Source organism: Homo sapiens, chromosome X, assembly GCF_000001405.40.
Source record: "Homo sapiens chromosome X, GRCh38.p14 Primary Assembly".
NCBI lineage: Eukaryota > Metazoa > Chordata > Mammalia > Primates > Hominidae > Homo > Homo sapiens.
Window position 1 is genome coordinate 139,169,797 of NC_000023.11, and position 27,001 is coordinate 139,196,797.

A 27,001-nucleotide genomic window follows, 5' to 3' on the forward strand; every position below is an offset into this window, starting at 1 on the left:
CATTGTCCCTAGATAAGCCTGCCTTTTTCGGTGCCCAACCATGACAGCAAGAGGCCAGTTTCCCTCTCCCAGCAGCATGGAGGGCAAAGGCCTGGGTTTTTGGTGGAGCACATGAATCTTTTCAGGGCAGTGGCTTTCAAACTGCATTTGCTGAACTACAAAGGGTTCAAAGAGGTACCTCAGGAGCCATCACGAAATTGCAGGATTTCAAGGGAACAAGCAGGCTTGGATCCAAGCCCAATTCCCACCTGAACTCCATGCAGCTTGGCCCTTATCTTTCATGGAGTTTGCGTAAGATTTCCTTTGAAACAAAGAGACCTATTGTGAAAACCACAGCATTAATTAAAGTATAAAAACCATTCCCCCTAAATCCTTTCAGTCCACCCTCTGTCTTGCCCAGACTCTCTCTAAGCCCCAAACACTGTTTCTTTACGTATTTTAGTTCCATTGCCACCCTACCACTCAGCAAGCTAAGCCTTTCTCATTTATGCTAATGCATCCTCCTCACCACTGCTAGCATGATATTTCTAAAAGCACACATCACAATTGTTTCCTGCATACAGCCCTTGAAGTTGAAACCACCCAGCCAGGCCTACTAGTTCTGCTGGGATCTGGTCTTTGCCCTCTTCCTAGCTTGGTCTCTTGCTACCCAATTCCCAGATACCTGCATTCTCTACATCACAGTAATTGCCATTCTTCAGCATAACATTCCCTCATAGACCACTGGGACTTTGCAGGTGCTATTCTTTCTGCCTGAAATGTCCTTTCCCAACCTATTCCCTGGGGAATTCATATCCATCCTTCAAGGTTCAGCAAAATGTCATCACTTTCATGCAAGCTTCCTTGACGATGCTCCAGCTTTCACACCTTGGCAGCTTAGCGGCTCCCTCCTCAAGGCCTCCAACCATCCTGCACTCATGTTTCTTGCCACAATATGCTATAAATATCTGTTCGTGACACTGCCTAGCTAATTCTCTGGATATGTCTTAGCACTACCTATAAAGTCCCAAAGACATTGGCCTGACATTCAAGGCTGTCCCTACCAATCTAGCTTCAACTTATATTGCTAACCTGACCTCCCGTCATTTCCCTTCCCAAGCCTCAGACTCCAAGAAAAAAGTGCGTTCTGTTAGCCAACACATCACATGATTTCTCAACTATGTGACAGCTGCCTCCATCTCCTCCCATCTCTTCATGTGCAGATCCTACCTATCTGCCAAAGTCCAGCTCTGATTGTCCTCTTCCAGGAAGCCTTCCCTGAGTCCCTTAGCAGGAATAAATTTCCTCCCTTCTGAATTCCCACAGGGCCTTGATAATGTCTTTATGCTTGACTTATCCTGAGCAGCCAACTGGATTATGAGAACCTAGCAAGTAAGGTTGTGCCCTATTCATCTTAGTGTCCCCAGAGCTGACAGCATATTCTTATGCTGAAAGAATAAGGATGCATTCTTGGGGCTACTTTTAAAAGAAGAATCCGTATTAGAAACATGAGAAATACAAATTCTACTTTTTTTTCCTTTTGCCTCCTTAAGAAAACTATTATTAGATGCCTAATTTATTTTAGGTTGTACAACAGAGTACCCAAAAATGCTGAAAAAACTTGTGAAAGAAACAAGTGCAAGAGAACAGGGGAAAGAGAATACCTCTTGATGGCTTCTGATGGGAGGTTCTAATCCAACCCTCTACTGTATGCTCTTAGGCTATAATCTTCCTTCAACAGAAATGGGATGTGAACAGATCCTATGCCCCAGTCAGGGCTCTGCCCTGCTGTCTTGTTTGTCTGCCTGCTTGTCTCCCTACCTCCTGTAGTAATGACTTTCATTTTGTAAAAAGAAAAAAAAATCAATTTAATTTCTAAATTGGATGCTTTTTCTAAAATATATAAGCATTAATAACAAATCAGCATGCCCATTTTCAACAGCTTCCTGAGTAGGCCTGAGGACTTATCACAGATATGTGAAAGAGTGTGCTAATTGTTTTCTTTTCAATGTGTGATTTACAAATGAATGAATAAGTTAGAATGCTAATGACTTTATACAAGAAAACAATGGATTATCTTCTCTACTTTGTGATTATGATATTGCTTTGACATGCAGCTTATTCATAAACTTTTCAAGAGTAAAGGATGTCCATTCTTCTATGATTTTCCTTTATAAACATTCAAGTTGCTTCGATGTGACTGGTTCTTTCTTTCCTGCAAAAATTTTAAAAACTGAAAAAAATACCTTGAATGTGTTTTGTCCCCAGTGGGTCCTCAGTAAATATAGTTGTTTAAAACTAACTTCATCAAGATATGATTTCAACATAAAAACTCAAATATGACTCTATATTTCTACTTTATTTGCATTAAATTCCCCGCTGCTCCATAAAATTCCCATATACTTTCACAAATATTTGAAATGATGTTAAGATGTTTTAACTCGTAAATATCAGGACCCAAAACCAATCTGAGTGAAAAGTTACATGTGATGAATTTGATAGCTCTTGAGCTATTCCTGCAGCAGGTTGTAAGGCCAGTTAACTCTTTCTGGCCAGCAGGTCATCTGGGGAGATGACAATCAGCCCTGCCAACAGCCTTGTTTCCTGATTCAAATATGGGGCTTGCGTCCAAACTCCTACTCACATTGGCTTACACTTTCCATTTCTTCCTTCCTCTTGCCCTCTCTTCATTTTCTACCCGTGCATAATCCAGCTTCCACTTTCCTAGCTCTTAGCACACACCAGGTATTCGATCCATCCTAGGATTCCGAGGTTCTGGTCAACCTTTGCACAAAGCTCTAAAGACAAAAATCTTTAAAGGAGAAACAAGATCAACTTTCCACTATTGATAGATATCAGAAAGCTCTGAGGACAGTTTAGGTAGTATTTCACCAAACCCTATGGCAGAACTCTGCAATCTCAAATTAATCTTTATATTCATGTTCCAACAGTCAGAACACACTGGCAGATACAGATTTTCTCAAATCAGGATACAAATTTTACATAATACCTGATTAGGCTAGAAAACTTGTAAATTTTATTACCCATGATGCTTTTTATATCCTGAGCCAAGAACCAAAAGAGACTTTAATTTCCAGATTTATATTAGACATACACCAACCTCCAGCTGACTTCCACTATCAGACACTAAACAAATATTTGTCAAGCATATATTACAAGCTAGGTACTAAGGAAGATTCAAAGGCAGTATAAAACCTGGCTGGCCCTCAATCCTCAGAGAGATTATAATATAGTTAGAGAAACAAAATATCTACAAATTTTAAAAGTTAATTACCAATCTAAGGCAATTTGCAAGTGCCAACGAATACCAGTGTCAAAAGAATAACATAGGAAGTGATTCCTTGACAAACCCAAAAGGACAGAAATATCTGTTTTGAAAGAAAAGAATTCAGAGGCAATATGGTGTGCTACAAGAAATCAGAAGATCTGGACTTTAGTCCCAGCTGAGCTGCTGGCTACGTCTTGGGCCATTAACCAGCATTTTAACCTCCCTGGCTCTAAACTGTCTCTTCTAGAAATTGATACAAAACAACCTGCCTCACCTGTCTCATCAGATAGCTCTTTTTTTAAAATATATGAATATAAATATAATATATATATATATGTAAATGTTTTTAAAATTATACTTTAAGTTCTGGGATACATGGGCAGAACGTGCAGGTTTGTTACACGGGTATATACGTGCCATGGTGGTTAGCTGCACCCATCAACCCGTCATCTACATTAGGTATTTCTCCTAATGCTATCCGTCCCCTAGTCCCCCATCCCCTGACAGGCCCCAGTGTGTGATGTTACCCTTGCTGTGTCCATGTGTTCTCATTGTTCAACTCCCACTTATGAGTGAGAACATGCAGTGTCTGGTTTTCTGTTCCTGTGTAAGTTTGCTAAGAATGATGGTTTCCAGCTTCATTCATATCCCTGCAAAGGCCATAAACTCATCCTTTTTTATGGCTGCATAGAATTCCATGGTGTATATGTGCCACATTTTCTTTATCCAGTCTATCATTGATGGGCATTTGGGTTGGTTCCAAGTCTTGTTATTGTGAATAGTGCTGAAATAAACATCCGTGTGCATGTGTCTTTATAGCAGAACGATTTATAAGCCATTGGGTATATACCCAGCAATGGGATTGGTGGGTCAAATGGTATTTCTGGTTCTAGATCCTTGAGGAATCACCACACTGTCTTCCACAATGGTTGAACTAGTTTACAGTCCCACCAACAGTGTAAAAGCATTCCTATTTCTCCACATCCTCTGCAGCATCTGTTGTTTCCTGACTTTTTAATGATTGCCATTCTAACTGGCATGAGATGGTATCTCATTGTGGTTTTGATTTGCATTTCTCCAATGACCAGTGATGATGAACTTTCTTTCATATGTTTGTTGGCCACATAAATGTCTTCTCTTGAGAAGTGTCTGTTCATATCCTTTGCCCACTTTTTGATGGAGTTGTTTGTTTTCATCTTGTAAATTTATTTAAGTTCCTTGTAGATTCTGGATGTTAGCTCTTTGTCAGATGGATAGAATGCAAAAATTTTCTCCCATTCTGTAGGTTGCCTGTTCAACCTGATGATAGTTTCTTTTGCTGTTCAGAAGCTCTTTAGTTGAATTAGATCCCATTTGTCAATTTTCGCTTTTGTTGCCATTGCTTTTGGTATTTTAGTCATGACATCTTTGCCCATGCCTATGTCCTGAATGGTATTGCCTAGGTTTTCTTCTAGGGTGTTCATGGTTTTAGGTCTTAACGTTTAATCCATCTTGAGTTAATTTTTGTATAAGATGTAAGGAAGGGGTCCAGTTTCAGTTTTCTGCATATGGCTAGCCAGTTTACCCAACACCATTTATTAAATAGGGAATCCTTTCCCCATTGCTTGTTTTTGTCAGGTTTGTCAAAGATCAGAAGGTTGTAGATGTGTGGCTTTATTTCTGAGGCCTCTGTTCTGTTCCATTGGTCTATAACTCTGTTTTGGTACCAGCACCATGCTGTTTTGCTTACTGTAGCCTTGTAGTATAGTTTGAAGTCAGGTAGTGTGATGCCTCCAGCTTTGTTCTTTTGGCTTAGGATTGACTTGGCTATACAGGCTCTTTTTTGATTCCATATGAAATTTAAAGTAGTTTTTTCTAATTCTGTGAAGAAAGTCAGTGGTAGCTTGATAGGGATAGCATTGAATCTATAAATTACTATGGGCAGTATGGCCATATTCATGATATTGTTTCTTCCTATCCAGGAGCATGGAATGTTTTTCCATTTGTTTGTGTCCTCTCTTATTTCCTTGAGCAGTGGTTTGTAGTTCTCCTTGAAGAGGTCCTTCACATCCCTTGTAAGTTGGATTCCTAGGTATTTTATTCTCTTTGTAGCAATTGTGAATGGGAGTTCACTCATGACTTGGCTCTCTGTTTGTCTATTATTGGTGTATAGGAATGCTTGTGATTTTTGTACATTGATTTTGTATCCTGAGACTTTGCTAAATTTGCTTATCAGCTTAAGGAGATTTGGGGCTGAAAGGATGGGGTTGTCTAATCTAAATATACAGTCATGTCATCTGCATACAGAGACAATTTGACTTCCTCTCTTTCTATTTAAATATGCTTTATTTCTTTTTCTTGCCTGATTGCCCTGGCCAGAACTTCCAATACAATGTTGAATAAGAGTTCTGAGAGAGAGCATATTGTCTTGTGCCAGTTTTCAAAGGGAATGCTTCCAGCTTTTGCCCATTCAGTATGATATTGGCTGTGGGTTTGTCATAAATAGCTCTTATTATTTTGAGATAGGTTCCATCAAACCTAGTTTATAGAGAGTTTTTAGCATGAAAGAGTGTTGAATATTACTGAAGCCCTTTTCTGAATCTATTGAGATAATCATGTGGTTTTTGTCACTGGTTCTGTTTATGTGATAGATTATGTTTATTGATTTGTGTATGTTAAACCAGCCTTGCATCCCAGGGATGAAGCCCACTTGATTGTAGTGGATAAGTTTTTTGATGTGCTGCTAGATCCAGTTTACTAGTATTTTATTGAGGATTTTTGCATCTATGTTCATCATGGATATTGGCCTGAAATTTTTTTGTTGTTGTTGTGTCTCTGCCAGGTTTTGGTAGCAGGATGATGCTGACCTCATAAAATTAGTTAGGGAGGAGTCCCTCTTTTTCTATTGTTTGGAATAGTTTCAGAAGGAATGGTACCAGCTCCTCTTTGTACCAATGGTAGAATTAGGCTGTGAATCTGTCTGGTCCTGGGCTTCTTTTGGTTGGTAGGCTATTAATTACTGCCTCGATTTCAGAACTTGTCATTGGTCTATTCAGGGAATCAGCTGCTTCTAGGTTTAGTCTTGGGAATGTTTATGTGTACAGGAATTTATCCCTTTCTTCTAGATTTTCTAGTTTATTTGTATAGAGGTGTTTATAGTATTCTCTTATGGTAGTTTATGTTTCTGTGGGATCAGTGGTGATATCCCGTTTATCATTTTTTATTGTGTCTATTTGATTCTTCTCTCTTTTCTTCTTCTTTAATCTGGCTAGTGGTCTATCTATCTTGTTAATCTTTTCAAAAAATCAGCTCCTGGATTCACTGATTTTTTGAAGGGTTTTTTTTTTTTTTTTGTCTCTATCTCCTTCAGTTCTGCTCTGATCCTATTCACTTCTTGTCTTCTGTCTTCTCCTGGCTTTTGAATTTGTTTGCTCTTGCTTCTCTAGTTCTTTTAATTGTAATGTTAGGGTGTCTATTTTAGATCTTTCCCAGTTTCTCCTGTGGGCATTTATTGCTATAAATTTCCCTCTAAACACTGCTTTAGCTATGTCCCAGAGATTCTGCTGCATTGTGTCTTTGTTCTCGTTGGTTTCAAAGAACTTATTTATTTCTGCCTTCATTTTGTTATTTACCCACTAGTCATTCAGGAGCAGGTTGTTCAGTTTCCATGTAGTTGTGCAGTTTTGAGTGAGTTTCTTAATCCTGAGTTCTTTGCACTGTGGTCTGAGAGACTGTTTGTTGTGATTTCCATTCTTTTGCATTTGCTGAGGAGTGTTTTACTTCCAATTATGTGATCGATTTTAGAATAAGTGCGATGTGTTGCTTTGAAGAATATATCTTCTGTTCATTTGGGGTGGAGAGTTCTGTAGATGTCTATTAGGTCTGCTTCGTCCAGAGCTGAGTTTGAGTCCTGAATATCCTTGTGAATTTTCTGTCTGATTGAGCTGTCTAATATTGACAGTGAGGTGTTAAAGTCTCCCAGTATTATTGTGTGGGAGTCTAAGTCTCTTTGTGGATCTCTAAGAATTTTCTTTATGAATCTGGGTGTTCCTGTATTGGGTGCATATATATTTAGGATAGTTAGCTCTTCTTGTTGTGTTGATCCCTTTACCATTATGTAATGCCCTTCTTTGTCTTTTTTGATCTTTGTTCGTTTAAACTCTGATTTATCAGAGACTAGGATTGCAACCCCTGCTTTTTTTTTTTTTTTTTTTGCTTTCTCTTTGCTTGATAAATATTCCTCCATCCCTTCACTTTGAGCCTCTGTGTGTCTTTGCACATGAGATGGGTCCCCTGAATACAGCACACTGATGGGTCTTGACTCTTTATCCAATTTGCCAGTCTGTGTCTTTTAATTGGGGCATTTAGCCCATTTACATTTAAGGTTAATATTGTTATGTGTGAATTTGATCCTGTCCTTATGATACTAACTGGTTATTCTGTCTGTTTGTTGATGCAGTTTCAGCACAGTGTTGATGGTCTTTACAATTTGGTATGTTTTTGCAGTGGCTGGTACCGGTTATTCCTTTCCATGTTTAGTGCTTCCTTCAGGAGCTCTTGTAAGGCAGGCCTGGTGCTGGCAGCAAGAATTTCAAGCCAGTGGATCTTAGCTTGCGGGGCTCCATGGGGGTGGGATCCGGGCAGCTAGACCACCTAGCTCCCTGGCTTCAGCCCTTTTCCAGGGGAGTGAACATTTCTCTCTCTCTTGCATTCCAGTTGCCACTGGGGTATGAAAAAGAACTCCTGCAGCTAGCTATGTGTTGGCCCAAACGGCCAGCCATTTTTGTGCTTCAAACCCAGGGCCCTGGTTGTTTAGGCACCCAAGGGAATCTCCTGGTCTGCGGGTTGCAAAGACCATGGGAAAAGCATAGTATCTGGTCCGGAATGCACTGTTCCTCACAGCACAGTCCCTCATGGGGAGGGACTTCCCCAGCTCCTTGTGCTTCCCAGGTGAGGTGACGTCCCACCCTGCTTCAGCTCGCCCTGCATGGGCTGCACACACACTCTAACCAGGCCCAATGAGATGAGCTGGGTACCTCAGTTGGAAATGCAGAAATCACCTGCCTTCTGCGTTGATCTCGCTGGGAGCTGCAGACTGGAGCTGTTCCTATTCGGCCATCTTGCCAGCCACCTCATTAGATAGTTCTGAAGAGCAAGCAATAAGATCAATGGAAATTACTTCTAGAAGCTATACTTGGCTATGCCAAAAAACCTTGAGCAGGTCCTTTACACTCTCCAGGACTGAGTTCATCAACTGTAGAAAGAATGGCCAGATGATCTCTGAGGTCACTGAGTGTAGGAAGATAGAAAATGGAAAGAAAGGATATGAATGATATCACTTGCACCATACTGCCAGAGGGAATTTGCAAACATCAGTATTTCTGTCCATTCAGGTCTAATAGCCTCAGAGAAAATGCTGCCAAGTATATGATTATTTCCATGCGAACACTACACCAATCCCATCACAAACTTAGAGCCAAAGCCCACACTCCACATCACCATGTCACATAAGGAATTTTTGCATTATTTCAGTTTGAAACTCTCCATGTAAACCTCAAGTGAGGGTAAGGCAGATTCAGATTGTGATTATGAGAGACAAGATATCTCAAGAGCCAGTTCTTCATCTAAGGTCTTTAAACAAACATCAAACAAGTTATGCGTAGAAAAACAATACACCATATGTTTCATGTGGTCTCAATCTGCATAATTTGGGAGTCAGGTCTATAATAATAATTTTGGTGTGAGGTTTGTAATCACAGTCAATTTCTTTTTTCCTCTCTGTCACAAACTGATTCCAGTTATCTTCCTACTTTATCTTTTGATTGCAGAAAAGAATAAGGGATTAAACTGGACATCAGTGTTCTATAATAGATCTTTTATATATTTCTTTTCTTATCTTAAAATTATTGACTCAGTGAAAGGAAAGAAGGAAAGAGAAAGAAAATCTACATAATGGACTCTTGCTTTTAAAAATACATTTATAAATTGCAAGCCGGCAAGATCAATAACTAACACATGAAGGTGATTCCATAACACAAGTGACTTTTTAACAATAGTTTCACCTTATAGAACATTTAACTCTATGGCCAATATTCCATGATACTGCCTATTACTTTTAATGGCAAAACCGCAATTAATTTTGCACCAACTTAATATCTCACAGTGGACTAGTAAAGCAACACACCCCAATGTGGTCCCTTCTTATTTTAGTACTTTGTTCACTCTCCCATTACATGTCTTCAAACTTTTCATAACTTCCCCTGAGTTGATGGCAATTTTCCCATTCGAAGAATCATTCTTTCATTTTCTTAGAAGATGCCTCTCTTTTCGCAAAAAATCAGTTTTCATTTTATTTCATTTTATTTCTGCTCCTACAGTATGAGTCAAATACTCTTGTGATTCCAGGACATTAAAAAAAAAAAACATGCAGAGGAATTGGATTCACTTCTCAGCTCAGCTACTTCTTAGCAGTATGAGCGTAGAGAAATTGCTTAACAGCTCTATGCCTTAGTTTATCAACTAAACTCATAATCTCACTTTCATAATCTCTTAGTTCATAATCTCACAAATTATGTGAGATGGGGAATATAACAGAAACAACCTCACAAGATTGCTATGAGGATTAAACCTGCCTCATATGAGAGAAGCACTTTGCAAATAGCAAATAGCTGATTGTATGTTTTAACACATGCATCTACCTGGAGTATGAGAGTATCTTGGACTGGTCTGACTCATTTCTGTATCCCCAGCATCCAATGCTGAGTAAGACCCAAAACAGACACTTAATAAATGTTTGTTGAAGGCATGAATGACTCGTCAGTCATTTAACTGTATGGTCAATAAAGGAAGGCACTCCTTGGGTGTCCCCATAGTATGCCAAAAGCAGGGACCATGTCCTGTGTATCTCTGTGTCCCTAGTATCCATCATAGTGTCTGGCCCAAGGTAGTCAGTTACATAAATTTCAACTGATGAATTAATGAATAATCCAGTGAGGATACACCATTACTAACACCTCAGGTTCACTTTTACTTTCATTCCCAGGTCCCCCTACCCTCCCACTTTGACTTTAATTTCCACTCACCTACTGCTTTTATCATAAAGCCTTCCTTGACATACCCCACCCTTGGCATGTCTCCTCTGAATGCCTCCCACACGCACAAAATAGACAGCTTAGCTTTATATTTTATACTCTTCCAAGCTGCTCACCACCACTGCAGATATAACATCTGAGATCATCAATTAGAATGCAAATTCTTTGGGGGCAAAGGCCATGCATCATCAATCTGTCAAATTTTCTACAATGACTGGCATCATACTGGGCACTAAGCTAAATGATGATCTTCTGGAACTTACATACCCTAAAGGTATTCCATGCACAAATTGCTCTGAGCTGGGTAGCTACTGTAAGAATTCTATCATCCAGAGTCCTCAAAAATTGAGTTTTCTGAAATATTACAAATTATTTTTTTCTTAGTTCTGTTTCTCTCTGTATGAAAAAAAACCCTCATTCTAACATATAACATATATTTCTTTTACTTTTCAAGTGGAGGCTCACAAACATGATTTGGCTACCTTATATGCCTCAGTAATTACAATTGGCTGTACACACAACTGAAGATGGAGATGATGATGTGCGCAATAGGGCTGCCTGATTTAACTGGTGACTGTGTGTGGTCACAGTCCCCGATCTAAACTGTACAGGTTGGCACACTGACCCCCTCCCCAAAGGACAACTGCACTATGGGTTGCTGACCTATATCCCTGCCTCCAAATACATCCAGAAAATAAAAGAACCCTACATCTGTGTTGCTCTCAGGTGCCATTCAGTTCAATAGTTATCTGCTGCACTATTCCTACGTGCCAGGTACTACATGAAAGAGAACAGTTCCACAGTTTACTGAAGGTTGAAACAAGCAGAAAAGATGACTGATAAACAAGTAACAAAATATGCCTCTTAACGGCATTTGGACAGATCACTGAAGTAGTATCAGAAAGACAAACCGATTCATTTGCTCATTCATCAACCATTTACCTAAAGCAGCTCTACAGAACCGAAACCTCACAGTTCCTGCCCTCATGTGACTCACAGTCTGGTGAGAAGCAGATGTGCAATAAAATCACTAGTCCTTTAATAGAGATGTTCAAATTGCAGTGAAGCACAGGAGTACTAGCAGTTAGGTGTGCCTGGGGGCATCTCAGAAGACCTCACAAAAGGGGTAACACAGGGCATGTTCTTGATCTCAGCCATGCTCTTGATCTCAGTCTAGCTGGAGTACTGAGTTATAGGGAACAGCTATGCCCAACACTGACCCCAACTAGCAAAGATGTACTGTCACTCTAGTTGCCTCTTCTCTTCACTTCTGCCATAGCAATCTCCAAAGCTCACCTTGGTTTTGATGACTACTTCATTCAGATGTTTAGCTCCCCACTGCAGAGAGTCCAGGCCTTTGGCCAAGTGGCAAATTGAGGGCGGTTGAGACTGACTCTAGTCTAGACCTGCAGGGAAGGAAATGAACACAAGGAAGGGCAACTCTGAAAGAGAAATCTGCCCAGCTATAGTCTGCCACTCCATGAGCATCAATGGCTTACTGCATACCATGACACTATGCTTGAATTACACTAGTCCCTGCCTTCAAGGAGCCCACAGCCTAGTGAGGGAGAGACCCATAAACAGATAATATAATGCAGTATGATAACAGCTATAATTCAGAAACTGACTGATATAATTCAGAAATAAAGTGCTGAGATAACAGTGGGAATTATCCACTGGGAGAAGGGTGGAGAAGGTGGAGAGGGTTGATGCTTGAACAGGGTCTTGAAGGGACTGGCGGGGCTTTTCCAGTTGGATGAGGTGGGGAAGAACCTTTGCAGCAGATATTGCTGGTTCTTTACTGAAAAAAATTCCTTCACCACCCTCTTCTCCCTCTCCAACACAACCCAGACTTTATGCAGACTATTGTTTTAGACAGAGACACTCTAGGCAGATAATCTTCATAATAAGAACTTAAGTAATAATAATAATAGCAAACACTTATATAGAGCTTACTCTGTGTCTGTCACTATTATATGTGTTGTATATATTAACTGATTTAATACACACAACAACCCAGTGAGGTAGGTACTACTCTTATCCCCATTTTACAGATGGGAAAACAAAGGCACAAGCTCTGCATGCTTAACCACTACACCATATTCTCTCTTTACTATGAGATGTTGAAGGTCCACACAGCAAAAGGGACTTTATAAGCAATCTTAGGTAGTACCCTGGATTAAATATGAAACAGTAAAGCTCAGGGAGAGCATTTCCTAAATAGTATAAATTGTCCTTCCTGAAAATTTTCCAAGCTTTGAACTTCAATAGGACCATCAGTCTTTTATGTTAAATAAATTGAAGTGTCATAAGGTGGCTTCTTCTGAAATTGCGTATTGTTCTAGTTCATATAGTATTAAACGTTCTGTAATATTTTCATCACTGAATGACAGCAAGGCAGGAGAACTGCAGGCTCTCCTGCTGATTCGGGCCTGTCACTTTCACAACACATTATCTTTTATCTGTCAATAGTAAATTGTTCACATATTCCCTCGGGATGGGGTGGGGAAGGTAGCAAAATAAAATAATCTGGGCCATGAAAACTTAGAAACCAAGTATGTAGTTTCAATTGTGAATAATGCTAATTTAGGAAAAATTCCTGATAAAAGGCCGTGTTTTTTGATAGCTGAACAATATTCTACCAGTAAAGGCCTTCTAGGGAAAAGCAAGTCCATTCATTAAAAAAGTACATTTACATGTATAATGCTAACCAAATGCTTTCACATATCATGTCTTTTTTATACTCCAACAAGCTTAGTGGGTGCTTAATGTTACTATTCTCACTGTAGCGTTTCACAAAACTGTGACCCATTGAGATTAAGAGGCTCACTCAAGGGCACCCAGTTCCTGTCTTCTTTCCACAAATACACACAGTTCCCTCCCTCCTCACCACCACATTCAAATATTTATATAACAGATGGGCACTTCACTGAAGACAAAGGGGAAGGGCAAATCTGCAGCCCCTTACTACAACAGCTAATTGTCCTGGCATGGATTCACTCCCCTGCTCTGTCTACTTGCACACCATTGGCTGGCAGGACACGCCAAAAACATGTCAAAAGTATCACATGTCCAAATTTTGTACAAGGGAGGCTGGAGCAATAATTTTTCACATTAGGTCTGTGACCTCCTCAATACAGAATCAACTCTGCCCTTCCAGACCTAGTGGGTCTTCACCACCTTATCCACCTAGAAGTGGCAAGAGTTACACAGAGCACTGTTCAGAGAGTGAAATGATTTGGATGTGTGTCCCCTACAAATCTCACGTTGAAACGCGACCTCCAGTGTTAGAGGAGGGCCTAGTGGGAGGTGTTTGGGTCATGTGGGCAGATGCCCCATGAATGCCTTGGTGCCATCCCCATGGTAATGAGTGAGTTCTCTCTCTGTGAGTTCACGTGAGATGTGAGTTCACGTGAGAAGGGCCTGGCACCTCCTCCCTCTCTCTTTTACTCCCTCTCATCATGTGATAAGGCAGCTTTCCCTTTGCCTTCCACCATAATTGTAAACTTCCCGAGGCCTTGCCAGCAGCAAATGCTGGTACTACACTTGTTGCACAGCCCACAGAACCATGAGCTAAATAAACCTCTTTTCTGTATAAATCTTCCAGTCTCAGGAATTCCTTTATAGCAATGCAAAATGACCAACACCAGGAAATAGGGAGAATATGGATCTACTAGTCCTAACAGTAATCCACAGCAAATACTGAACAACAACCACTCCTCTCCATGACTTTGACTCACATACTACTCAATGCAAGTGGCTCCACACTGTTCTTGCTTGCACTTTGCAGGTCCTCTGGAGAGGCTGATCTATCTAACTGATAATTTCTCCTACTTTCAGGAGTCAAATGGTCTAAAGTAGCTCAAGCAGAACCTATGTTCCTGAGAGGTGCTCATTCTTCCCAGACATCAGAACAGTTAATACTTTCTTTTGCATAAATGAAAATATGGTATGCTTGAATTTGCAAATCATCAAGTAGCTTCAACACCAAAGCAGGTATATCCATGGGTTCATACCAACTTAGTACATGTAAATGCTATCTGTATGCATATACAGAAATTTCAGAGAGTACAATTTAAAAAGCTGTTCATGAACTTTTAAGATTCAAATAACCAGAGACTACATTTGAAATTCTGCCTTGCAGAATTTACACAGGAATGCAGAAAGGGCTTTACCCTTGTTCAATAAAAAACACCTCTAACTGCCTGACTTGTGGGTAATACATTTTTATACTTGTGCACTTTTATTTTACCCAGGCAACATGCAAAAGTTGGTAACCCTCTTCCCCAAGACACCTGCATGGCTTTCTCTCAGAATTTTACTCAAATATCATCTTCTCAGTAAGTCCATACCTCATCATCATACTCAAAACTACAGCCATTTACCACCACCACTACCATACATACACATTCCCAGATTTATTTTCCTCCATAGCACTTGTCAGCAGATAACATATCTTTTTTACCTATATATATATTGCTTATTGTATGTCCCTACACACACACACATACACACATACACACACACACACGAATGTAAGCCCAGGAGGGCAAAGATCTTTGTTTTATTCATTGCTATATCACTTATACCTAGAACACTGCCTGGCACATAGTAGGTATTCAATAAATATTTGTTGAATTAATGTTAAATGAAAAATCTTTATTTTCAAAGTTGAAATAAAATTTTCCCATACAAGCCATGAGTGTTATTTCAGAATGAACAATCTTTTTCATTCCTTCTTTTGCTGATTCATTTCTGACTTAACATGGCTGTCTTCTTCTTTAGAGAAAACACTCAAATGCACATTCCAGGACACTTTATTGGGAGGACTCTCATTTTAGCCTCACATGTAAACGATTTAGTTCTAGTTCACATACAGATGAAACCAGACCTGGAAAGTACTTGTATTAAGTTTGTTTTGCACTGGAACAAAACTCATGAAATCAGACCCAACAATGCAGAATTCGTTTAGCTATCCATGGGAAAAGGGGGTGCTGAGTACATAGTAATACTTGCCAACCACACTCACAATAACTGCTTTCAAAAACAATAGGAAAATTTTAAAATATTTTTATTTCTTCATTATGGCAAATCATGAAATCCATAAAATTCTACTAGCTAGAAGTTCATGTTACTTTGTATACTTGAGCATAATAAGTGTCTCTTTTAACCCACTATATAATACTGGCTTTTGTTTCTATTGTTCAGAAAACACCTATACCCCATGCAATTATTGCAAATCTCTGTGCCTTTGAAATGTTGATCATATAATCTAACTTTTGTCAATAGCAGTTCCAATTCCTATACATTTCCCCTTTACTGCTAAGTGAGTTCTTGCCAGTTGTAGTTTTGGCTTTTACATTTGATGTTCTGAAACATGAGAAGACCATATTGCTACAAGACTATGCAGAGCAGGGAAGGTCCATAACAGCCGGAGTCCACCGTGCATGTCCACCAATGGGCCCCCACTGAAGCTGGTGTGGGGTAGAGTTAGGACCTAGATTCTCTGAAAAAGCTCTTCAGGGGCTTCTGTTCTCTGCCTTACACCACCTCCAATGACAAACATCAGGAAGTTCTTAGAGGAAAGGTCTATTATAAACACTAAATGATTATGCTTAAAAGCTATTATCTTGTTAATAATATCACCCCAAAACTAAAGTCAGGATCTGGCATTATCATAGACATTTTACAAATGGGAATACTGATATAAAGCACATAAGTGATTTTCTGTTGCACTAAATAAAGGCAAGATAACAGCAAAGTAAGGGGGAAAAATGTGAGTTCTTAAGGCCCAGTCCAGTACAGGGGACCATTATATCACACACAATCTATGGTTTGATTTCCACTTTAGATTATTCCCAGTAATAAGCTACAGATAAGAAAGACTAAATAGGCTAATCTGCACCTAACCAGGAAGTATACCTGCATAAGAATGTAGCTGCATAATGCCAGTTCATTTATTTGGGCAATATTTATAAATGGTCTGCTATGTACCTTAGAAGCAAAGGATATTAGGATCATTATGAATCACCACTGAAAATCAGGCTGCAATCACAGTGGGAAAATGTAAGAGATGAAAAAAAGAAGATGCAAAGAATAAGTGATACTGCTCAATCACACAGTTGTAAGTGCTAGAGATGGGACTGGATCCCAGAAACATAAGAGTCATCATTCATGACTCCTGTCTCCCGCTTAAGTAAATGAGATATCATTGTACCACTCATGTTATTATTTGCACAAAACCCAATCTACCCCAATTCCTGGATAGTGCTCTCAAATCTTTAGACATTGTCCATCTTCATTCTTACTCTACCAAGTCTCAGCCTGGACCCACCGCATCAGCTTTCTCACTGCCTTCCTAGCCAGACAGAGTTTTTAAAAATGTACATCAGATCACAGGGCTTCCCATCAGGAAACTCTCCAAAGGCTTTCCAATGCATTTGAAATGAAATCCAAACTCTTCATCCTCATACACAAAAGTACACCTCAATGCCTTTGTGTGCCAGCCCCTGCCTACCTATTCAGGTACACCTCATGCCTCTCTAGCCATAATGCATGTCATACAGTTATGCCCTTTTACATTTACATTTGCAATACCCTTCCCTCTCTCTCTCCCTTCCTTCCTGCCATTCTTCTCACTTCTTTGTCTTCAAATGAGCTGTTCTCTCTGCTTGAAATTCTCTTTGTCCTCCTCTTTGCCAGGCCAGGTCCTAATTCACTTTTCTGATCCCAGCCGATCTCTCTCCTCAGGGAGCATTCCCTGGTCCTTCAAGGCTGTGTTAGCTGCCCTCCTCTGAGCTTGCACAGTTTCCAGGGCATCTGCTATTACAGCACTGGTCACACTGTATTTGTCTCCATTGACTATTTGCTTGTCTGTCTTCCCCACTACACTGTGAGCCCTGCAAGGGCAGGGACACTCTGTAGCTTGGTCACATTTTTCCAACACCTACAATCAAGCTTGACAGAGAGCCAACACCCAATACGTGTTCCTTGAATGAATAAATGGTATGAATGGAACTATCCTGAAATTTCTGTGTGGCAACATCTGGGAAGTATCTGTGGCAGTACATTTACTTTCATGCAACTGCTGGAGACAAAGCAGAAAGTCAACATGAGTGATATAGTTGGAAGTCAGAAATGAGTTGTGTTCTGCCTGATTACACCCTACACTGCCAAGAATGGCATTATCTGTTAAATATCAATGTTCTTTTTGACTTAATAAAAATTCATGGCCTACTAATAATAGCCATAAAACTATGTACTTTCATATGAATAAAGTTGATTAAGCCACTTTCTGGAATAGTTGTGTCTTACTGCTAAATAATGCATATTCTGAATAGTTAAGAAGTTATCCCTCTTTCTTGTTACTAATAAAAAAATCATGGCTGCAGACACATATATGGATTTCTGATCATGGAGTCCACAATTAACAAAACCCTGAGGCCTCTAATCTTAGCAGAAAAAAAATAAGTCTTCTACTTAAAATCTAATGGGTTTCATTCATTTATAATGATAGTATCCTGAAGTTTTGTTCACAATCAGCATTTCATCAAGTGCATTAAGTTACCATTGAGCCTACTTGTTTTTCATGCATTTCTTCCTACCAGGGAACCTCCTTGTTAATGCACAGAAAAACTGCATTTTCAATATTTCTGCTTAAAAATTGGAATCAATGGGACTGTCCACTGAAATGAGAGTGGCATAATTCAGGATATGCCAGGACTATCCACGTAACTAAGGTGACTCACTACTCTAGGAATAATGTACTTCCTTCCGTTCTCTAAGTAAGCCATGTTCTTGCTCATCACCTAGCTTCTACATGTGCTGTCCCCACTTTCCAGGACACTCTTATTCCTCTTCATCAACTGACAAATTCTTACTCATCCTTCAGGTGTCAAGTTAACGATCGCACTTGCTACCACCACCCAACTATGTCAGCTCCCTCTCCTATGAGCTTCCTTAGTTCTCTGTGTTTCCCAGTCAAGGCACTGCTTCCTTTTTATTTCTCCCACTATCAGCTCTGTAAGAGCAAGAATAGAGACTCTTCCTCATTGGTGTTTCACCAGTGCCTGGGCCTGCCATAATGCTTGATGCTCTTTGAATGAATGGAGTCCAGATTCTTAAGCATGTGTCTCTAAAGTATTGTCTATCACCTGAAAATAAATATATCTGCAGGCTTTCTGCCCACCAATGGGAAATAATATATTAAGGATTGAGGGCGTTTATTACAAATGACAATCCCTTTGGGAGATTTCTATTTCTGGAACATTATAAAGAGGTTGGAGACAGTTCAGGAGAAGTTAGGGGGCATGAAAACAAAGCTTAGGAGCCAATACATGGAGTGGGAAATCTGTGCCCTGATACAGAAACAGCACTCACAGCACTAGCTGCACAACTCAAAGCCACACACAGCACTTCAGAGGTGGCAGGGAGGAGACAGAATTCACAGTGGAAATTCAGAGGGACTTACTCAAATCAAAACTAAAGTCAAGGCCTGGATATTTCCTCTATTTGATGCCAAGTATTCAACAAATGTTTCTCCCACTGCCCAAAAAGAGTTGAAAACAAAAAAAACTTGATTGCTTCATATTTAAAACTAATTTGTGCTCCTAAACATGAGCTATGTTTCAAATATAAAAGAAGCAGATAAAAACAAATAAAAATGTTGAATTATTCCAAGGCTAACTGTGAAGTTAAATTTTTCCAAATGACAGAGTGAGTCAAATTTCTCTTCAAACATTTATTGCATTTGCCTTATGAGCCAGGCTTTGTCCTAAGTACTATTCAGAAATTAATAACTTGGTCCCTGCACTCAACAAGTTTACAGTATAGTGGGGGACACATATAAACAGGAATGGAAATAAATGGTAAAGGGCAAAAATGCAAGGATGAAGGATCATAGAGGCTATCACAGAGGAAGTTCATTGTTTCCACACACACACACACACACACACACAAAATCACTATAAAAAAGTAACATAATAGACCCAAGAGGACCTAAAAAAGTCCTATTTACTCTACTCATGGTTCTCAAACTTGCAAGTCATTTGGATTGATGCCTCAATTCTCCAGTACCCTAAAAATTTGCATTCTTCCTTTATTTTATTCACCATGTTATTTTAATAATCTTAGACTAAAGACTGAGAAAATAAATTGAGTATTTTAAAACAATTTATCCCATCAATTGAAAAAAGATCTACACCCAAGTTCATAGCAGCATTATTCACAAGAGTCAGAAGATGAAAGCAACCCAAGTTTCCCTCCTTGGACGAATGGATAAGCCAAATGTGGTCTATATATACAATGTAATATTATTCAGCCTGAAAAAGGAAAGAAATTCCCACACACACTACAACATGGATGAGCCTCAAGGCTCATCTTTTCCTTATAAATTACCCAATCTCAGGGGTCTCTTTATAGCAATGCTAAATGAAATCAGTCAGTCACAAAATGACAAATAACTATAGTTCCACTTATACAAGGTAGCTAAAGTAGTCAAACCCATAGAGACAAAGTAGAATGGAGGTTGCAAGGGACTGGGGTAATGGGGAAATGGGGAATTGTTTAATGTGTACACGGTTTCACTTTTGTGAGATAACGTTCTGAAGACTGGTTGCACAAGCAGTCTTCAGATTATATACTTCAGTTAAATACTTAACACTACTGATCTGTACACATAAAAATGGTTAAGATGGTAAATTTTATGTTATGTGTATTTTACCACAATTAAAAGTAAAAATAAAATTTTCAAGAGGGATCATGTTATAATGTTACATGGTGTATTGTCCTGAAGCTCTACTCCAAGAAAACATGATTGGGGTACACAAAGGCCCCAAATGTGAGAAAATGCAATACTTCAGTTCTTTTAGTCATGAATAAATACATTGTGATGAGAGGGATGAACATAGTTTTAAAAGCTGTTCTTGCCTTTGTGGGGAAAACAATACAAGCAAACTTATTTAGGTCACAGCAGTCACTGTAAACATCCCAAGAAAAGCTTATTAATAACAGCCACCCACAAAGGACCTGGTTTCAACCAAAGAATGCCATGGAGTCAGTGAAAGGAAGGCTGGGGAAGAATTGTCCTGTATTTTAGAAATAAGAATGTTAGCATCTTTCTGTAGTTCAACTTGGATTTAGAAATCACAAATACGGCCAATTATTTTAAATAAGGAAATTGAACTAGACAGTGTCTGAAGGACCTTCTGGCTCTAAACCATAATAATTGGTTGCTTGCTTGATAAAAGAAAAAAAAAACAGAAAAATACCCTAAACATTTATGTCAATCCTTGATTCTGCTATCAGTAGAGTAACAGAGGCCACCTGCCTGAATCTGTTACTGTGTCAATGTGGAAATGTACTGGGCTAGGCCCCTGCCACTAACTTGTTCTATGACCTTGGGCAAGTCATTGCCTCTCTGTGGGCCTAATTCTTCTACTCTGTAGTGGGAAGGTTAGACCAAATGATGATGAAGGTCCCTTCCAGCCATTATAGCCTGTAATTAAGGATCTGTGGAGCATGGTGATTAAGGCTGCAGAACAATGTGAATATACTTAATACCATAGAACTGGATACCATAGAATTGACTATAAAATGGTCAGTTTTATGTTGTATATTTTGCCACAGTAAACATATTTAAAATAATTAAAATAAAAAAGATAATAATCCGAGAAGCAAGACAGCCACTCTGAGCAACAGTTTCTAATTAGAATAGCAGGAAACAAATGCCTCAACAAGAGGCCTCTAGGCTTGGTTTTGATTTCTTTCTTTTTAATCAAGTAGTCCTTCATGCCCAAAGAAACGTGCGAGTACACTAAAGATGATGCTATTAAAAGAAAAACTTTTCATAAAACAATAACTCTTTCAATATTGTAACTACCTCCACATTCGGCATTTGAGTTAGATTTGTATATATAGTTTTTATAAATTGAGTCTCCCCTATATACAATATGGTCAAGAGAGATGCACTCTGAACCAAATCTCACTCTCAGCAGAGCAACTACTCTCATTTCTTCCAGCCATGTAAAACAAGCAACTCAACTCTGGCTCAAAGGCAGGGAAATAAGTTTATTATCTTCTGCCAGGATTTTCAGATCCTGGGGAGATGCCTCTGCACTAAAAATCAATACAAGATTTTTCAAGGTATTCAGTTTTGTCACTTGTTTGGAGACAATGGCCTCAGAAAAGAAGATGAACTGCCTTACTTCTTTTTCCTCCCTTTTTCTGCATGCTGCCCTTTAAAGACATGCTCTTTGTGCCAGAAATTCAAAGGTTGCTTTTATGTCCAGTGGGGTGGAGGGAGGAAGCTCGGTGTGTTTTAAACGGTGAAATCTGTCAAAGTCCCAAAGGCTCTTGTGATACAAATCAGGTCATCCTATACAGCCTGAACCCCCAATTCCACAGAGGAAATAAAAACCATTTATAACTCAAAGTAACTAGCAGTAATAGGTCAATGCACTTGATTGGTCATGAACCAATTACAGAGACACTGCTTGGTGCCTCAAGGATGAGAAGGGGTGGGGGTGCACCTAGGCCCAGCCCAACACTCACACTCCTGCTTCCACCTCCCATCACCACCTGCTGCCAGATACAGGCAGAAAAATTATGTCCAAGGAAAAGCGGAATTACCTTGTCCACCCTGTGTCACCCTGCTCTAGACTGGCAGAGAAATGTCTTGGAAGTCCCACTCCCACCCCCTTATCCCACCAGTTTAAGATCCACTGAGGTTCAAGCTATCATAAGGGTCAAAATATTTGGACACTGACCTCTGCTATTCTAACAGCTGTGCTAGGATTGCCATCTCTGAATGGCATGCCCGAAGCTCCCTCCCAGCCCCGCCCTCTCTGCGAGAGCCGAGGCTTTGAAATTCTCCTGCTTCCCTACTTTCTCCTAAAGGGAGACCATCAAGGGAAACAATTGAGGCAGGACTGGCAATAAGATAGAAAAAAGCAGCAAAAAGAGAGAAAGAAGGCTTCCAAGCAGAACATTTATATGTGGAAGATGAATAGGGCCGAGAAGGTCTTTAAGGTTGCTTAATTCAACCCATGAGGACACTGAGAACTCAAAACATACAGTTGACAACAATGCTGGTCCTAGACATCAGGGCTCCACCTCATGTAATATTTTTGGAGTGGATGACTCCTTTGAGAATCTGTTCAAAGCAATGGAGCCTGCTCACCAGAAAAATTGACATTTATACATAATTTCTAGGGGAGTCCTGTGATTGTCTCTAGGACAATGTTTCCCCAACTAGCCTGATGATAAGAATCACCAGGACACCTGCTTACAAGTCAGATTACCATCTCTTTTCCTAAAATTCTAATTCAGTAGGTCAGCGGGAGGGTTTTTGTTTTGTTTTGTTTAGAAAAAACAAACAAACCCTACAGGTGATTCTTTAGGCAAGCTTGAGAAACACTGCCCAGAGGCAGTAGGTCCCTAAACCAGCTGTGCATTAGAACCACTTGAGGAGCTTAATAAAAAATGTGGCTTTCTAAGGCTCATGCCCAGATATACTGAATCAAATTCTCATGGTCGGGGGTATATGTGGTTAGACGTGATGCTGATGCCCAAGCTGGTCCAGGAACCACAGCTTCGGTGGTTCCTGAACCACAGATAAGCAACCCATGTATGACTCCATCCAGCTTGACTCATTAGTAATTTGGCTTGGCCAGAGCCTGATGGCTATGATGGGCACCAGATCACTCACTGCTTGACATACCACGAACATGAAACAGAGTGCTTCATGCACTGAAAGTCTGTTTCCCTAAGAAAACTTGCAAAATATGCTTGTATTATCCATGAAGGCAGGGATAGTTATCTGTTCCGCTCACTGCTGTATTCTCAGTGTCTAAGAAAGCAGATGGCACATAGAAGGTTCAATACATATTTATCGAGTAAATTAACAGATGAATTAATTTACACATGCATTAAAATAACTGAAATCACTTAAGTTGGGGTATGACTGTCCAATGCATGTGTGAATCTGTAGATTTATTTCTACCACCAAGAAACCCTCTATCAAGAGTCCTCTAACTTGAAAAATCAATATGAAAATCACTACTATTTCAGTAATATTATCAGTATCATCATTGACCAAATTCTACGTAGATAGCCCATTATGAAGTAGCAATTGTATCCTAAATTAAATTAGCAAAATTAAATCCAGCAGGATTATTGCTGTCAGTCTAAGGGCTTTTGGTATAGAGTTTCAAAGGTAAAGGAGCATTTACAGAAACCTACGATGGATGATAAGCATTGTCATTACGTAACACATTTAGTGAGCACTTGCTTTGTGAAAAGGATCCTTGAAGACATTCCAGTCTATTCAGAGAGATAAGACATAAGCAGATGAGAAGTTAACCATGAGATACACCCAAAGTAGCCCATGGAGATTGCCAGATGGGTGACATAGAAGCCCTGTACAGAAGTAAGCAGTCAGTGCCTGCTGGGAGGGCGGAAGAAAGGCTTCATGGAGGATGGAGATTTAGCTTGGACTTGAAGCATCATATAATATAAAAATAATAAGTAGGTCACGGTAGATCAAGGAATGAGGGAGCAGAAAACTCAGTTTGAAGACAATCAATAAGTAATATTTCATTAGTATTATTTTTATTATTATATCATTAATATAATTATGTATTTCCACTATAGATAAAAATAGAAAATATGACTAAACACTATAAATTTCTATAAGCCAACCACCCAGAGATTCCTTTTGGTGTATATTCTTTCAAGATTTATTCTTAGCATATTTGTTGTGTATCTATTTACATATGTGCATAGTTGTCTATGTGTGTTTAATTTGGTATTTACAGATTTATACACACATATACATAGCCCCATATGGGCACATATTCATATATGTACTTTTACAAAATACTAATCATGCTTGTGGTGTCCAGTGAGAAGGATCTCAAGGAGGTGCAGGAAAAATGTTCACACCCCAGGCACAAATCACCATCTCTCCTTGGTTACCCCTAAGTCCACACCTAGTATACACACTGAAAATGATGGTGCAAATTATTTAACGACATAAAATAACATTCTAAGACGTTGAGGGAAAAAAAGGAAGTTATCGTGTATGTGCCTGATCCCACATACACACTTAAAGATAATTAGCCATGTCTATGTATTATAATATGCAGAGAAAAAGGACTAGAAGCAAAGCCTCAAAAAGTTAACTTGGTAGTGGAACCTTGGGTGATATTTTCTTCTCTACGCTTTTATGATGTTCCAAATTGTCTCCGGTAAACATGCATTATTTTGTAATCTGAAAAAAATCAATGTAATAAAACATAAGCAATATAAAAACACACACATAAATTCAAATCTGCCTGTGAGCGTCCTGCTCAAGATGCATCTTCGGTTTTTGAGCAGCTAAAGTCAAATTAGCATTAACAAGAAGACAGAGAAAGCAAAGCTCTTGTGTTGGTCAAGCCCTGACTTCAAGGCTCTTGGCCTTCTATGCCTGCCTTTGAGGTGTCTAGTGGGTGGGTCAGGTGTACGGAAAGCAAGAAAGCCTTGATAGGTGTCGCTAAGGGAGGAGGGCGCGCCTCCCTGAGCCCCGCCCGGCCACCACCAGCGCTGCTCTGACCGCCACCATCTTAACGCTGCTTCCCCACAGGCTGCAACGTGCCCGCGGTCTAGACTGCGAGGCCGCGGGCTGCACCGGAGCGCGCAGTATCTTCCCCCGGACTGCGACCACCCGCACCGCCAGCCACGGAGCCCTGGCCCGGGCCCGCGGTTCCCTTTGCGACGCCTCCCCGTGAGTCGACTGGGCCGTGGGTATCGAGGACAAGCAAACAGAAACCCCCACTGCCCACCGCCGCTGCCGCCGCCAGGAAGGCGCTTTGTCATGCCCGGAGCCGGCGCCGGGCAGCTCTTTGCCAAGTTTCACCTTCGGTGACACAACTTTTCCGTGTTTCTTTTTTAGGCAGCTGCCACATCACGAGGCTAATGAGCACACTAAGGTTTGTAATAAACCTGCCTGCCAGATACACAGGAACTGAGGGAGGCTGGTTGACCAGACCTTTCAGCGCGATCGTCGGTTCCCAGCTAGCCGAAAAACAAATGTTCCCCGGAATGAGAGCATCTAGGAGCACCTTGTCCTGTTTCCAAGAGAATGGCTCACATTGTTCCCAGAGCTCCGAAAATCACTCACAAATTCAAGAGCTCTTGGAAGCCTTAATGTTCAATAAACCCCCCAAGGGGAGAGGCAAGCATACACACAGAGAATCAAAGGCAAAATAAGCAGGTCAATTCTCAATACTTTCAAAGTCACCATTGAAAGAAGTTTCTGAAAATATCTATGGGCATATTCAAGAAGTGCACTCAGCCTGTCTTCTTTAGGTTGTTTACTTCTACTTTTAAGAGCTAGATAAATATTTTAAGAACCCTAGCTATTTACTAACCCTCAACTCCAGAACAGTAACAAATGCTACCTACATTATTTGGAGCAAGTTTTGAGAACTGGGTTTCATGTTTGTTATTAAATTTACCTATAGCCATGCAATAGACCCATCACTGTTAATTATTACCATTGAGCAACAGTTCTACAATACAGATAAATACTACATGATTCCCAACTTCGAGAACTGTAATTAATATGCTTGTTCAAGGCGTTGTGTCTCTGTTAACAAGATATATTTTTGGAAATATTATCTAACTGAAGGCAGCATAAATAGTATACAAAATAAAGCTTGCACTTTTTTATTTTTCCATTTAAAATGAGTTACGTAAGTAGTGAAAAACCTCTTCTGTGGAGCTACGCTTTGTTGTGGGGGGTGGATTTCTTTCATCACGATTAATATAGCTATCAAAGGAAAAAATCCAGAAATGAAAATCTTTCAATGAGCTCAGCACACCCTGAGGAGCCCCATTCGGTTAATAAAAACCACTGACATTTGTTAACAAGAAAAGGAGGGAGGGAAAGAAGGAGAGTCGGAGGAAGAACGGGGTAGGGTTGAGAGACAAAGAGAAGGGAAATGAGACATATGATTCTGATGGGAGACAGACTGAAAGCATATACCATGTAATGAAAACTAAAATAAACAAGTGGAGTTTTTACTCAACAGTGAATTAAGAGGATGTATAATCTTGAAGACACAGGTGAAACAAGGTCTCAGATGCAGTTGCAAAAGAAAGTACCATTGTTTTTAAACCAATATGAAAGCCAAAGTCACCTGGCCAATGAAAGACACAGTCACCTGGCCAATGTCCTGTAGCAGTGGTTCAAGAGGATGGCCAAGTGAAGTGAGATGCACATCGGAAAGTTTAAAGTCAGAATGTCCCAGGCCAGAGAAGAAGGAAAGGGTACCCCGGCACAGCACCTGATAGAGAAAAGTCACTCAAAAAATGTTCAGATTTTGTTTAACTGAACAAAGACCACAGCCCTGGAGCAACCATGTATTTAGTATAGGCACACTCCTCCTAATTATGTCCAATTTGGTGAATGGAAGTAATTTCGTCTTTGTGCAAACCTGCATTAGAAAGACTCAGCTGTGCTGCCTAGGAAGGGAGTATGATATAGTGGTTAGTGGTTAGGAGGTAGATTTGGAGTCAATGAAATCTGGTCAAATCCTCACTTCACCATCTTGTTAGCTGAGTGACCTAAGGATGGCCTCGGTCTGTTTCTTCATCTGTCACATTGAAGACTAGTGTGGAT

The 27,001-nt window shown here is 39.9% G+C and overlaps 1 protein-coding gene and 1 long non-coding RNA gene across 4 annotated transcripts in view; one reads left to right on the top strand and one right to left on the bottom strand.

Moving 5' to 3' along the window:
• The window catches only part of FGF13 (fibroblast growth factor 13), a 590,297-nt gene that overhangs the window by 555,070 nt on the left and 8,226 nt on the right, over positions 1-27,001 (bottom strand). The gene's annotated exons all lie outside the window — the stretch shown is intronic.
• Positions 6,591-26,064, top strand: LOC124905222 (uncharacterized). The gene is made up of 2 exons (XR_007068344.1): positions 6,591-25,102; positions 25,271-26,064. It is a non-coding gene; the product is annotated as an uncharacterized LOC124905222 (long non-coding RNA).